This window comes from Homo sapiens, chromosome 22 (genome assembly GCF_000001405.40).
Source record: "Homo sapiens chromosome 22, GRCh38.p14 Primary Assembly".
NCBI classification, from domain to species: domain Eukaryota; kingdom Metazoa; phylum Chordata; class Mammalia; order Primates; family Hominidae; genus Homo; species Homo sapiens.
Genome location: NC_000022.11, coordinates 50,658,957 through 50,674,918, shown reverse-complemented (window position 1 = coordinate 50,674,918; position 15,962 = coordinate 50,658,957). Strand labels below are relative to the sequence as shown.

At 48.9% G+C, this 15,962-nt stretch overlaps 1 protein-coding gene across 1 annotated transcript in view; it reads right to left on the bottom strand.

The window, feature by feature from the left end:
• The window catches only part of SHANK3 (SH3 and multiple ankyrin repeat domains 3), a gene marked incomplete in the record, with an annotated part of 60,390 nt that extends 58,294 nt beyond the window's left edge, over window positions 1–2,096 (bottom strand). The window contains 3 exon segments of the mRNA NM_001372044.2: window positions 215–337; window positions 340–843; window positions 2,066–2,096. Coding sequence (NP_001358973.1) covers window positions 215–337; window positions 340–504 — 288 coding nt within the window.

The window sequence follows — 15,962 nt, the reverse complement described above, 5'->3', positions numbered from 1 at the left end:
CGCGCCTCCGCGAACCGCGGCCGAAGCCCCGCCCCAGGGGCCGGGCTTCCCGGGGCCCCGCCCTGGCGATGGGGAGGGTCCCGGCGGAGGCGGCGGGGGAGGGGTGAGTAGCCGTGGGCCGGGGGTCCCGGGCGCCGGGCGCGCCCGGCGGGGGTGGGGGAATCCCGGGCGGGGAGCGCAGGGGCACGGCCGGGCCCAGGGCGGCGGGGCTCACCGTCTGCTGCAGGTCCGGGATGCCGACGCGCACGACCACGGCGCTGGCCCCGGGGCCGTCCATCCCCGCGCCGGGGCCCGGGCCGGGGCCGCTCGCGCCGGGGAACGGAGCGCCCGGGGACTCCGCGCGCGGCGCCCCGGCCCCCCCTTCCCCCCCGCCGGAGCCCCGTCGGCCGCGCTGCGCGGGAGGGGGCCGGGGGGGGCCGGGGCCGGGGCCGGCGCGGGGGACAGCGGCTCCGGGGGCTCCGCAGGGGCGGCGGCGGCGGCGGCGGCGGCGCGGCTCAGCTGCATCGGCCCCGGCTCAGCTCGGCGCCTGCCTTCCCCGGGGGCGGGGGCGGCGGGGGGAGGGGGCCTGAGACGGGAGGGAAGCGGGGGTGGCGAGGGGGCTGCGCCGGAGGCGGGGGCCGGGAGGGCTCAGGGCCAGTGCTGGGGGGTTACTTGCGGGGTCCCGGGTGGGGGCGGGAGGTGTGTGCGGAGGGCGGGGGCCGAGCCACGGGGCGGGGGTCTGGGGGGCTGTGACGGGGTTGGGGGGGGGAGTCCTAGGCCTCGGTGCGGGGGGAGTGGCTGAGCGGCAAGGGCGGGCATCCGCGGACCACCGGGGCGGGTGCGGCGGAGGAAGGGGTCCCGGAGCTGGGGTGGGGGCCGCGTCGGGGCACGAAGACCAAGGTAGGGCGAGAAGGGGAAAGAAAAACAATTAATTTCCGGAGGTGGCGGCTTCTCCCCCCCACTCCACCGACCCCCAGCTTCGGGCCTGGAGGAGATGGCGGGGACCCCCCCCCGCCCCAGGCCTGGGGGTCGGACCACGGGGACCTCCAGACCGGGGAGGGCCCGGGGCCCTTCCCACCGCCTCGGCGAGAGGCCCTCCGAATTAACCCTTTCGACCGCGCCCTGGCGTGTTCGGCGCGGCTCCCCCACGCCAGCCTAGTTTGGGGAGTTTGCTCCGGACTTCCCCCCAAGGACCCCTGGCCGGTCCGGATCCAACGCCTGTCGCCCCCTCCCCGTCACCTTAGCGACGGCGGGATGGGGGCGCGACCTACGGGGAAGGGCCTAGGGGAGGGGGCGCTACTAGTCTCCACCTGCGACTGGGAAGTGAATTTTAGTTTTACGCGTTGTCGTGGCAACGCGGGAGGGGGTGATGAGTGGGCGGAGGAGGGGGGAGCTCAGTAAAGAAACGAGCTCAGGCACCGCCGCCCCATCGGGGTGCACCAGGCCCCCCAGCCCTGAGCGGCCTCTCGGAACTGTCCTGCACTGCGAGCCCCTGTGCCCCCAAGAGCAGCCCCTAAGTCGAAATAGTTCCGCCTCCTGCAGAACTCTCCCAACCCGCTTTGCCTGGCGTTCCCCACCCCCCTCCTCCGCCCCCAAGCAGCCCCAGATCCTCCTAGAGGAGCCGCTGGCCCCCTGAGGGCAGAGCTTGAGAACGTTCACAGAAGAGCCCAGCCTGGGGAACCCCTCTGCCTAAGGAGGAAAACAGCCTCTAACCCCCAGCCTCCCCAAGAGCAGCTCCAGATCACCCACAAAACGGATTTTGCCTGAGCCTCCCAGGAATAACCTTGAACTGCTCCGGCCCCCATACACGCAGAAAAACCTCCCTACCCTCCCCCGCGTGACAACCTGGACCATCCTAAACACCCTGACCCACACAGAACAGAGCTTGGCACTCCCTCCAAGGACAGCCCCCACTCCCCAGCAGATCCACCTCGACCAGCACCTGCTCACCCCAGAGCACCCCTGACAGAGTGTTTCTGATGAGCCCTCTCCCCTCAAAACAGCCTCTGGTCAACCCCAGAGCAGGGCCTCACTTCCCTGGGACCAGTCTGGCTTCCTCCTCCCGCCTCCCCAGGACGCCACTGACCGGGCAGAGCGGAGCCTCCAGTGCGGTGTGTGGGTCACGTCCTGCGTTCTCCCCACGCCTAGACGGTTGCTCCCTGCCCAGGAACTGTGGTCCCAGCATCACAGGCCCCTCCCAAGGCCACTGGCCTGGCCTGAGTGGTGCAGCTGAGGGTCTCCCAGGGGAGGGGGCAGGATGGGAGGGGTGGGGGTCCCGGGAGCAGGGAGCAGGAAGGGGCCCTGGAGGCTCCCGTATCGGCAGGAAGCACCTTGGAAGGCACGAGGGCTGGATTTCCTGTGGCCCAGCCCTGGAGAGAGGAAACCAGTGCTTCCCGGCCCACCTCGTGTCTCCACCGTCTTCCTGCCCATGTCTCTCCCCCCGCTGTCACCCAGGCCCCCAACTCCCTCCCAACCCCTCCTTCAGCCCTAACCCTAACCTTCCTTGCCGTCCCTCCCACCGCAACCTCCACCTGCCTTTGCTCCCAGGTGCCGGCCCTTCATCCCACTGTGGCCAGCAGAAGGTGGTGGATGGGGCCTCCCAGTCCACCAGTGATGGACTCTCCGCAGCCAGGTCTTCCACAGCCCTGGGCCTCCTCCCTCTCCCTTGGTGTCTCCCTGCAAGCCTGCCCTCGGCTGGGTGGACCCAGAGACCCTGGCCGGCACTCCTCCGACCCTTAGACTGGACCTCTGGGCCCCACCAGCCGCCTCCTGCCAACCCACCAGCCCAGGTGAATCCAGCCACCCCAGGCCAGCACTGGGGCTGTGGCCACTGAGCATTTTGAGAGAAAATCTCACATCTTCACCAACCAGCAGCCCACAGATTGATGGTCCCCAGACTCAGCTGGGTCAAAGACCCACTGCCCGGGGCAACACCGTAGCCCCTGCCCAGTGCCGCCCTGAGCCTGGGTTCTGCACAGTGCCTGGCACGCATGATGCTCACATCGTGAAAAGAGTCCAAGCCTGAGTCACTCCCCAGCTCCACCGCCACCCCGGCAAACAGCAAAAATAACAATACCCACAAGCACTCACACACATGACGTCCTCTGGGCTCCGGGGGGGTTCCTGGAGAGGAAGCCAAGGGACACAGGATGTCTTTGCCCCTTACTTTGTTGAGAATAATCCCCAGGTTCCCCACGGCCTCCCCAAGCTTCCTGAGGACCCTCCCTCTGGCCCACCAGACCCCACCGGCCAGGCAGGGCCACCCTGGGCCCAGGTCTACCCCCTCTTCTCTCCCATCTCTGACCTGGAAGGTGGGGATTTACAGGACACCATGGCCCCTAGGGTTTTCCTTCCTTCCAACAGGGCCAAAATTCTAGAAAGATCTGTCCTTCTCACCATCCCCACTTCTTCCCCACCTGCCCCCACACACATTCAGACACAAATAGGCCTCACAAGGTCTGGGAGAGCTCATGTGGGCAAAGCACCCAGAATAGTGCTGGGTGCAAACCAACCCCTGGATGGACCCCAGCCCACTGCCCCGCTGCCACCCCAGGCTGAGGCCACTGCAAGGGCCCTCCCTGCCTCAGCACTTCCTGTGACACCCCCCAAACCTCGGCCCTCCTATCTTAATACACTCTCCAGCAAGGGGGCTCACACCCCCACCCACCTTCAGGACCTCAGGTGGGCCTGCGTTTGCCCACTGCTGGCTTCTCTCTTATCAGAGCTGTTGGCCTCACTTCAGCTGCACTCAGAGCTGTCCCCTCCCGACCCCTCACTATCGCTCCCCCGGCCCCTCTCACTCACTCCCTACCCTCCCTCTCGCTCAGCCCACAAACCCTGGGTGACCACTTCCCTGGAAAAGATTCCCAAAGGTGACACCAGCACCTGTGCTGCTCACCCCGCAGGCACGTTTCTGTCCTGTCCCACCTGACTTCCCCAGAACCTTCACCTCCCTTGGTTTCCACACCTCGGGAGAGGACCCTCTGCTCCCAGGCCATCCCCTCCACCTTCCTCTCCCAGGTGGGCCTGCCTGGCCCCACACTGCTCCACTGCCTCACTCTGGTCCCCTGCCTTCCTCCTGAGGCCCTTCTAGCATACTCTGACTCACTTATTTGTGCTTTAGTGTCTTTCTTTCCCTGCCAAAATATAGGCACCCAGTGGAGATTGACCTTTGCCGGTTTGGTCCACTGAAGTGTCCAAGCCCCTGGCACAGCCTGATGCGTGGCAGTGCTCCCGCTGTGTGGCGGGTCAGCACACCAGCCTCCATCTACAAGTCCACACCCAACTTCCCCTCTGCAGATCAGTCCCTCTCCCAGACTCCAGACCAGCTTGTGTAAGGCAGCCATCCTTGAATACACAGTATTTGCAGGGAGTAGAGTTTTTATTGCATCTAGTTATTGAATATCTATAGGTGTATTTAGGTTCCATTTTATCTTGAATCTTACTTAAGTTTTATTTTTCTAGGAATACAAATCTATTTCTAAATAATTAGCTTTTCCTTTTTTGATCATCTCTGTTTTCTATTTTATTCTGTTCTTATGTTTATTTCTTTACTTTTTTGAGTTTTATGATTATTTTTCTTTTTCTTTTTCTTTTTTTTTTTTTGAGACGGAGTCGCTCTGTCGTCCAGGCTGGAGTGCAGTGGTGCAATCTCGGCTCGCTGCAACCTCCACCTCCCGGGTTCAAGCGATTCACCTGCCTGAGCCTCCTGAGTAGCTGGGATTACAGGCACCCATGACCACACCCAGTTAATTTTTGTATTTTCAGTAGAGACGGGGATTTCACTATGTTGGTCAGGCTGGTCTCGAACTCCTGACCTCACGATCTGCCTGTCCTGGCCTCCCAAAGTGCTGGATTACAGGCGTGAGCCACCACGCCCAGCCTGATTCTTTTTCTAAATTGAGCTGGATGCTCATTAATTTTCAGTGTTTCTCTTTTGTCTTTTTTTCAGTGTTTCTTCATAAACCTATGAATTTCCAAGTACCACTTTCATTATGTCCCTTAAGCTTTCCTTTAAATTTTTTTTTTTTTTTACTTTTTAAAACTAGTCAAGTGAAACAGTGAGAGTGAAGAAGGAACAAGTAACTGGCTGGTTGTGATCAATTAGCTGTAAACGCCGCTGCACTCGGACCAGCCTTTTTTTTTTTTTTTTTTTTTTTTGGACACAGTATCACTCTGTTGCCTAGGCTGGTAGGATCATAGCTCACTGCAGCCTCCCACTTTCCCACTCCAGGGCTCAAGCCGTCCTCCTGCCTCAGCCTCCCAGGTAGTCGAGACTACAGTCACACACCTGTTCCCTTAATTCTTGATAAGTAGTATTTTCATTTAGTTTTGTTCTGAATTTCTTTTTTTTTTTTTTTTTTTTTTTTTGAGATGGAGCCTCGTTCTGTCGCCCAGGCTGGAGTGCAGTGGTGCGATCTCAGCTCACTGCAACCTCTGCCTCCTGAGTTCAAACAATTCTGTCTCAGCCTCCCGAGTAGCTGGGATTACAGGTGTCCACCACCATGCCCAGCTAATTTTTGTATTTTTTAGTAGAGATGGTTTCACTATGTTGGCCAGGCTGGTCCTGAACTCCTGACCTCAGGTAATCCACCCGCCTCAGCATCCCAAACTGCTGGGATTACAGGCATGAGCCACTGCGCCTGGACATTTTGTTCTGATTTTCTAATACCAATTATCTATTTTGGCTTGGGAATTGCTGAAAAGTATGCTTATTTATATTTTCAAATGCATATTGTTTTTTGTTGGGAGAAGACTAACCCTTGGTTATTGATATTTTATTATATATGGTCAGAGAAGGATCTGGATAATACTGATATTTTGAGGGTCTACAAAGACCCTTTCTTTGTATCCTACATGGTCCATTTTTGTAAAAGTTTCCTATTTATTCAGTAGGAATTGTTGGATACAGGTATTTCTATTCTTATCATATATATTGATATCATCTATATCATATGTATTGATTCATATATATGAATCAATAATTCATATCTATGGTACATATTAATTCATATGTATTCATTATATTCACATATAACTCCATTAGATCAAGCTTGTTTTATTCACATGTTCTGTGTACTTTCTAATATTTTGTCTGTTTGATTTATAAATTACTGAGACAGATGTGTTCAAATCTCTGCTGTGACAGTGGCTTTGTCAGTCTCTTCTTGAAATTTTGCCAATTTTGGTTTCATATACTTTATGGCTTTGTCATTAAATGCTAACAAGTTTAAAATTATTACAGCTTCCTGATAAATTCATCTTTTTATCATTATGTGAGGCCGCTCTTTATCTCTAATTGAGCTTTTTGTCTTAATTTTATTTTTTCCGACAGTTAATATAGCTACAACACACTTCTTCATGGCCTCATATCTCTTTCCATCATTTTCCTTTTATCCTTTCTGTCTTTATATTCAGTGTGCTTCCTAAATAGTATGTACAGCTAGATTTTTTTAAACCCAGTCTGACAATTTTTAATTTTTAAAAGTATGTATATTGTGATTAATGATATACTTTAACTGATTTTTACCATCTTATTTCACGCCATTTGTACTTTTTTCCTCTGCTTCTTTTTTCTCTTTCTGCCTCTATTGGATTGATCAAGTTTTCTTTATTCTCCTTTCCTCCAGCTCCCATTGGTTTGGAAGTTATGCATTCTCTTTCTGTCATTTTTATAAATACACTTAAACTTTGCACATGCGTAATTAACAAAGTCTAAAGTTAATTAGTATCTCTATCTTCCTTCTGTGTAATAAAAAGAATTTAGAATACTTAACCTCCAATCGCTCCTCTCATCCTATATAGGTTTTTGTCCATGTTGTTATCTCCAAATTAGTCATCTCTGTTATTACTAACCCTGTCGGAAAATAAATGCTTGTTTAGACTTAGTTACATGTTAACCAGTTTTGTTTTGTTTTGTTTTGTTTTGTTTCTGAGTCCCAGTTCCACTCTTGTTGCCCAGGCTGAAGTGCACTGGCTGGGTCTCAGCTCACTGCAACCTCTGCCTCCCAGGTTCAAGGAATTCTCCTGCCTCAGCCTCCCAAGTAACTGAGATTACAGGCACTCGCCACCACACCCTGCTAATTTTTGTATTTTTAGTAGAGATGGGGTTTCACCACGTTGGCCAGTCTGGATTTGAACTCCTGACCCCAGGTGATCCACCCGCCTCAGCCTCCCAAAGTGCTGGTATTGCAGGTGTGAGCCACCGTGCCCGGCCTTCTTGCCTCTCATTCTTTCCTTCTAGGTTCAATTTTCTTTTTCCTAAGTACATCCTTTAGACTTTATTTATTTATTTATTATTGAGACAGGGTCTCGCTCTGTCACCCAGGCTAGGGTGCAATGTTGCAATGTTGCAGTCTTGGCTCACTACAATCTTTGCCTCCTGGGTTTAAGCGATTCTCCTGCCTCAGCCTCCCAAGTACCTGGGATTACAGGCGTGCAACACCACGCCCAGCTAATTTTTAAAATTTTTTGTAAAGACAGGGTTTCCCCATGTTGCCCAGGCTGGTCTCGAACTCCTGACACTCAAGCAATCCACCTGCCTCAGCCTCCCAAAGTGCTGGGATTACAGGCATGAGCCACTGCGCCAAGCCTCTTCTTTGTTTTTAATCATTTCAGAAATATTTATTTTTAAGTTTCTAGTCAATAGTTTCATTATGTGAACTTTTTGATGGTCTGATTCTGCTTTTCGTGGCGTGGACTGATTCTTACACTTGGTGGATTGTTTCTGTGAGAATTTTATGACCAGGAGTTATGAGCTCATGTTGAGCCTGGATCTATGTAAGAACCTGAATAACCTGGATATGTCCCTTGTACCACTAGCCCAGCACTTCTTTTATGTCAATGCCTTGGCTTTGTGGCCAGGACCACAAAGGGTCATATAATTCAAACTCCAAAGCTGGCAATAGTGACAGTTTCACAGAAAAACTTTTTTTGCTTGGAACCACCACAAAGATTTATGAAAAATGTTTAAATGAAAAAGAAATGTGCAGTGAGAATTATGAAAATGGATTGTTCCCTAAGGTTTATGAGCACATACATGCCATTCTAAGTGTATTACACATATTAGCTCATTCGATCATCACAAAGTCACTCAGGGAACCACTGTTACTGTCCTCATTTAACAAGCGGTAACTTAACTTGTCCGGGGTCACTATGGCCAGTCAGTAGAGAAGCTGGTAGTCATGTTACCCAAGCGGGGCCAGTGTGAATCCTGTTCTGAGATAGTACGTGTCTTAAAATGAGGAGAATGGCCAGGCACGGTGGCCCACGCCTGTAATCCCAGCACTCTGGGAGGCCGAGGCCGGTGGATCACGAGGTCAGGAGATCGAGACCATCCTGGTTAACACGGTGAATCCCCGTCTCTACTGAAAATACAAAAACGTAGCTGGGCGTGGTGGTGGATGCCTGTAGTCCCAGCTGCTTGGGAGGCTGAGGCAGGAGAATGGCGTGAACCTGGGAGGCAGGGGTTGCAGTGAGCCGAGATCGCGCCACTGCACTCCAGCCTGGGCAACAGAGCGAGACTCCGTCTCAAAAAAAAAAAAAAAAAAAATGAGGAGACTGGTTCCACTCTTGGGATCTATAGGAGAACTGTGAACTCAGGAGCTGCTGGTGACCGAGTGGTAGCCTTGAGAAGAAAGCCACACTACCACACTACGGCCGGCATCTGGGGCCTACCATCCTGAACGCACCTTACATCCAAAGCTAAGCAGGCTCGAGAAGAAAGTCACACTGGAAGAAATAGAGATTGGGAGACAGGGAAGGTTCTGAAGGGGTTTGAGTTTCTAATTTTAGTCCCTGAAATCTGATAGCACTTCTGCAGTTTGGTTTCAAGGAACAATACATTTCCCAGAGAAGTTCAAGAGCTGGACTTGGAGCAAATGCCCAGCTCAGCCACCAAATACCCAGGTGGCCTAGGAAAGCTTCCTAGCCTTCCTATGTCTCCGTGTGTGCTCAGCTAAGCTGGGGACTATAGTACAAACTGTTTCATTTCCTCATTCATTCTGGCCAGATGGCAGGCCTGGTTGAGATGCAAGGTGTCTGCCTTCAGAGGCTCACAGGTCAGTTCTCAGCCTCCTGGGCCATTGTGTGGACTAGATGAGGTACGTGTGTGTAAAATGCTTAGCACATGCCTAGTACCTGGTAAACACTCTAAATTTTATCATCATCAAAGCTAGTTCAGATTTTGGAGTGTATTCTGATGAGTGTGTTCTCCATATCTAGCAGCAAAACAGCAGCGTAAAGGGATGGCTGATCTTTGTTGTATATTCTTAGAAAGAGTGTTAAATTTAAAATACTGTTTTAACATTGAAATGTGGAATTAGCCGGCCAAGGTGGTTCACACCTGTAATCCCAGCACTTTGGGAAGCCAAGGTGAGCAGATCACTTGAGCTCAGAAGTTTAAGAACAACCTGAGCAACAAAGTGAGGCCCCGTCTCTACAAAATTACGGACATTTGCCAGACGTGGTGGCGCGTGCCTGTGGTCCCGGCTACTTGGGAGGCTGAGGCAGGAGGATCGCCTGAGCCTGGGTGGTCAAGGCTGCAGTGAGCCGAGATCACACCACTGCACTCCAGCCTGGGAGACAGAGCGAGACCCTGTCTCAAAGGAAAAAAAAACGTGAAATTAAAAGTGAGAAATATTTGTCTAGTTAATTTCACATTTAGGGTTCCGAGTATCTTTTCATTCAAGACGATGTGTTTTGCCTGTGTTTACCTCTCCACTCTCTCAAAGGCCACTGACAATTTAAGATCTATGTACCTATTTTTATTGTAGTGAAAAGCACATAACATGCAGTTCACCATCATAACCGTGTTTAAGGGTACAGCACAGGAGAGACAAAAAGAATGAATTCCCTGTTCTACTGATTTCCCCTTATCAGTGCTGCGCTTGACTAGTCTTATAAAATTAAAGATTTAAAAATTTTATATATATATATATATATTTTTTTTTTTTTTGATACAGAGTTTCATTCTGTCGCCCAGGCTGGAGTGCAATGGCACAATCTCGGCTCACTGCCACCTCTGCCTCCCAGGTTCAAGCAATTATCATACTTCAGCCTCCCTAGTAGCTGGGACTATAGGTATGCACCACCATGCCTGGCTAATTTTTGTAGTTTTAGTAGAGATGGGGTTTCACCATATTGGCCAGGCTGGTCTCGAACTCCTGGCCTCAAGTGATCCACCCACCTCGGCCTCCCAAATTGCTGGGATTACAGGCATGAGTCACCACACCTGGCCCTAGAACTATGTATATTTTTAAATAATAAATCCATCCTCATGTTAGAACCATCAAATGGGTTATGACTGGAATGACGCAGATGGGATCAGAGATGAAGAAGCCAACAAAAGCCAGAGAGTCGGCCATACCACAAGAAGGACGTCCGGGCTGCTGGGGAATGGCTTATTGGCCATTCACATAGCTTCTTTCGTGAAGTGTCTGTTCTAGTCTATTGCCATTTTTAAAAACTGAGTGGTTTGAGTTATTAAAATTTAGGAGCTCCTTATATAATCTGGATACAAGTTTTTTGTTGTTGTTGTTGTTTTGAGACGGAGTCTCCCCCTGTCGCCCGGGCTGGAGTGCAGTGGCGCGACCTCAGGTCACTGCAAGCTCCACCTCACGAGTTCCCGCCATTCTCCTGCCTCAGCCTCCCGAGTAGTTGGGACTACAGTGGCCCACCACCACACCCAGATAATTTTTTTGTATTTTTAGTAGAGATGGGGTTTCGCCGTGTTAGCCAGGATGGTCGTGATCTCCTGACCTCGTGATCCGCCCGCCTCGGCCTCCCAAAGTGCTGGGATTACAGGCGTGAGCCACCGCGCCTGGCCCTGGATACAAGTTTTTATAAGATATATGTATTGCAAAAGTTCTCTAATTTCTTGGCTTGCCGTTTCATTTTTGTAATAGCCTCTTTCAAAGAACAAAAGTCTTGCATTATTATAGAATTCAATTTATCTTTTTTGTTTAATCGTTCTCATATTCTTTGGGTTCACTCTAAAAAATCTTTGCCTACCACAAGATCACAAAAATATTTTCCTGTGTTTTATAGTTTTATTTTATTTCTTTTTTTTAAGAGATGGGGGGCCAGGCGTGGTGGCTCATACCTGTAATTCCTGGGAGGCCAAGGCGCATGGATCACCTGCGGTCAGGAGTTGGAGACCAGCCTGGCTAACATGGCAAAATCCCGTCTCCACTAAAAATACAAAAATTAGGTGGGCACGTTGGCGCACGCCTGCGTTACAGCAGGAGGATTACTTGAACCCAGGAGGCAGAGGTTGCAGTGAGCCGAGATCACGCCACTGCGCTCCAGCCTGGGCTACAGAGCGAGAATTCGTCTCAAAAAAAAAGAGATGGGGGTCTCACCATGTTGCCCAGGCTGTGTAGTTTTAGCATTTACATTTAGGCCTGTCATTAATTTCAAGTTAATTTTTGTTTTTGGTATCAAGAAAAGGTAGCTGTTCATATTTTTTTGGGGGGAGCATGTCCAGTTGTTTCAGAACCATTTTTAAGATTTTTAAATTTAGTTTTTATTGTGGTAAAATATACATAACAAAATTTACCATTTTAACAATTTTTAAGTATACAATTTTGTGGCATTAAGTGAATTCGCCACCATCTCCAGGACATTTTCATCACCCCGTATTAAACTATACTCACTGAACAATAAGTCCTCCAGTCTCCTTTCCACCCAGCTCTTAGAACCACAGTTCTGCTTTCTGTCTCCATGTATTTGACTATTCTAGGGACCTCTCAGCACCATTTTTAAAAAGACTTCCTTTTCCACTGAATTGCCTTTGCACTTTTGTTGAAAATCAGTTGTCCACATATGTGTGGGTCTATTTCTGGACTCTGTCTCTATTCTTTTCCTTTGATCTATATTTATAACTTTCTTCAATTCCATACTGTTTAATTTCTGTAACTTTATAGTAAGTCTTGAAAGCAGATAAGTCCTGTAACTTTGTTCTTTTTTAATTTGTTGGTTATTCTAGGTCATTTTTATTTCTATATAAATTTTAGGATCAACTTGTCAATTTCTAACTCCCCAAGAAAGCCTGCTGGGAATTTGACTGGTATTGCACTGAATTTGTAAATATATTGAGAGAATAGACATCTTAATAATATTGAGTTTTCTATTATATGAACATAGTATATTTCCTCATGTATTTATTTGTTTATTTATTTTGTAGGGGCAGGGTCTTGCTTTATTGCCAAGGCTGGTCTCAAACTCCTGGCTTCAAGCAATCCTCCTGCCTCAGCCTCCCACATATTTTGGTCCTCTTTAATTTATCTCAGCAATGTTTAGTAGCTTTCAGTGTAGCATTCTTACACATTTTTGCTAAATCCATTCCTAAAAATTTTGTGTTATTTCATGTATTACAAATAAAAATTTTAATATAATTTTAATTTCATTTTCTAATTTTTTTTTTTGAGATGGAGTTTCACTCTTGTTGCCCAGGCTAGAGTACAATGGCATGATCTTGGCTCACTGCAACCTCTGCCCCCCGGGTTCAAGTGATTCTTCTGCCTCAGCCTCTCGAGTAGCTGGGATTACAGGCATCCGCCACCACACCGGTTAATTTTTTGTATTTTTAGTAGAGACAGGGTTTCACCATGTTGGCCAGGCTGGTCGTGAACTCTTGACAGGTGATCCACCTGCCTCGGCCTCCCAAAATGCTGGGATTACAGGCATGAGCCACCGTGCCCAGCCTCATTTTCTAATTGTTGATAGTATAGAAAATCACCTCTTTTTTTTTTTTTTTTTTTTTTTTTTGAGACAGGGTCTCACTCTGTTTCCCAGGATGGAGTGCAGTGGCATGATCTTGGCTCACTGCAGCCTTAACTTCCCAGGCTCAAGCTATCCTCCCACCTCAGTCTCCTGAGTAGCTAGGACTACAGGCACACACCACCATGCCCAGCTAATGTTTGTATTTTTAGTAGAGAAACACAAAATACACAGGTTTTCGCCATGTTGCCCAGGCTGGTCTCGAACTCCTGAGCTCAAGGGATCCACCCACCTCAACCTATCACACAACTATCTTTTGCATATAAACTTTGTAGTCTGTGACCTTGTTAAATTGCTTAGTTCTAGTAGCTTTTTTTTTTTTTTTTGAGGCAGAGTTTCACACTGTCACCCAGGCTGGAGTGCAGTGGCGCGATCTCGGCTCACTGCAACCTCCACCTCCCGGGTTCAAGCAATTCTCCTGCCTCAGCCTCCTGAGTAGCTGGGATTAAAAATCTATTTAATAATGTAATCCAAGTTTTTTTTTTATTTTAGAGACAAGGTCTCACCATGTTGCCCAGGCTGGTTTCAAACTCCTGAATTCAAGCAATCCACTCGGGTTAGTCTCCTATTTTTGACAACATGGATGAACTTGGAGGAGATTATGTTAAGTGAAATAAGCCAGGCACAGAAAGACAAACGCAGCATAATCTCACATATGTGTGGAACATAAAAAGAACTCAGAAATGGGGTGGAATGGTGGTTATCAGGAGCAAGGAGGTTGTGGGGGAGATGTTGGTCAGGGAATTCAAAATTTTAATTAGAAAGAATAAGTTCCGCCTGGCATGGTGGCTCACGCCTGTAATCACAGCACTTTGGGAGGCCAAGGCGGGCAGATCACAGTCAGGAGATCAAGACCATCCTGGCTAACATGGTGAAACCCCGTCTCTATTAAAAACACAAGAAATTAGCTGGGCGTAGTGGCGGGCGCCTGTAGCCCCAGCTACTTGGGAGGCTGAGGCGGGAGAATGGCGTGAACCTGGGAGGCAGAGATTGCAGCGAGCCGAGATTGCGCCACTGCACTCCAGCCTGGGCAACAGAGCGAGACTCCATCTCAAAAAAACAAAACAAAACAAAAAAAAAGAAGGAATAAGTTCAAGAGCTCTACTGTACAACATGTTGGCTATAGTTAATAACAATGTATAGTGTACTTGAAAACTGTTAAGAAAGTATATTTTAAGTGTTCTCACCATAAAAAATGATGTGGGGTAATGCATATATTGATTAGCTCAATATGTTGCACATGGTAAATATATATAATTTTCATTTGTTAATTTAAAAAAAACAGTCAAAAGAAAAGATAAATATCTCCCAAAGGAATAATTAGACTGACAACAACAGTGAAGGTCAAGAAAGAGAGTTAAGAATAACCATTAACTCAGAATTATAGTTCTCATTCATTTAAGAATGAGATTGATGAAAAAAATATTTCCAGAAAAGGAAGAGAAAAAAATAAACTTCAATTATTTTTCTCATTTTAAAAGGCATATATTGTTCCTTTTCAAATCTACCATGTTCTTTGGTTCCTATTCTTTCTGATAGTTTCCTCATTCCTTATTCATGTTTTCAGTTGCATCTTTTATCTCTGTGACCATTTTGAGCATACTTACATGTTTTGTGATTTTTAGATGTGATGTCATGTTTGACCAATCTTAGTCTGTGGGAACCTGGAGGAGTTAAGTTGAAAGTGCTCTCCCTCAGAGGTGATTTACATTTGCTCCTGCCAAGTGCTTTAGTGCAGCCAACCTGCAACCACTTCAACTCAATTCCAAACCACCAAGATATTTTGTATTTAAACCCCATGCCCATTTGGAGGCAAGTTTATACCTATAAATTGTCACTGATTTCTTTTCTTTTTTTTTTTTTTTTTTTTTGAGACGGAGTCTCGCTTTGTCCCCCAGGCTGGAGTGCAGTGGCGCCATCTCGGCTCACTGCAACCGCCGCCTCCCAGGTTCACACCATTCTCCTGCCTCAGCCTCCCAAGTAGCTAGGACTACAGGCACCCGCCACCACACCTGGCTAATTTTTTGTATTTTTAGTAGAGATGGGGTTTCACCGTGTTAGCCAGGATGGTCTCCATCTCCTAACTATCTCATGATCCGCCCACCTTGGCTTCCCACAGTGCTGGGATTACAGGCGTGAGCCACTGTGCCTGGCTGTAAATTGTCACTGATTTCTATCTAGTGGTGAGGTCGTTACAAAATATTTCATTTCTCAGCTGGGTGTGGTGGCTTACGCCTGTAATCCCAGCACTTTGGGAGGCTAAGGCAGCCAGATCGCTTGAGGCCAAGAGTTCAAGACTAGCCTGACCAACATGGTGAAACCCTATCTCTACTAAAAATAACAAAAATTAGCCAGGCAGGGTGGTGCACGCCTTAGTCCCAGCTACTCAGGAGGCTGCAGCACAAGAATCACTTGAACCTGGGAGGCAGAGGTTGCAGTAAGCCAAGATCCTACCACTGCACTCCAGCCTGGGCAATAGCGGGAGACTCCGTCTTAAAAAAAAAAAAAAAAAAAAAAATTCAGCTGGGCGCGGTGGCTCACGCCTGTAATCCCAGCACTTTGGGAGGCTGAGGCGGGTGGATCACCTGAGGTCGGGACTTTGAAACCAGCCCAACCAGCATGGAGAAACCCCGTCTCTACTAAAAATAGAAAAAAATAGCTGGGTGTGGTGGCACATGCCTGTAATCCCAGCTACTTGGGAGGCTGAGGCAGGAGAATTGCTTGAACCTGGGAGGCGGAGGTTGCAGTGAGCCCAGATCACGCCATCGCACTCCAGTCTGGGCGACAAGAGAGAAACTCCATCTCAAAAAAAAAAAAAAAAATTAATTAATTTCTCCTTCCTGGAAAGCAGATTTCTTTCCTAGTTTTTCTAGCCTCTTACTGAGACTGTGGGTCTTCAAAAGTCCTGATTTTATCTGAGCATCTTCTTATATTGCATGGGCCCAAGTCTCTGTCTTTTGCCTCCTACGCAGCCTTAAAACCTGAGGCTTTAAGTTCCTAGTATTGAGAAGCCCCAGATTTCATACTTATTTACCCTGTTGGTTTCACTTTCCTCTCCATTTTGTGTCTCTTGGGATAGGCTTTGTTTTATTTTCAAGCTCAGCTATGTATATAAAAGAATGCTGGGCTGGGCGCAGTGGCTCACGCCTGTAATCCCAGCACTTTGGGAGGCCGAGTTGGGCGGATCATGAGGTCAGGAGTTC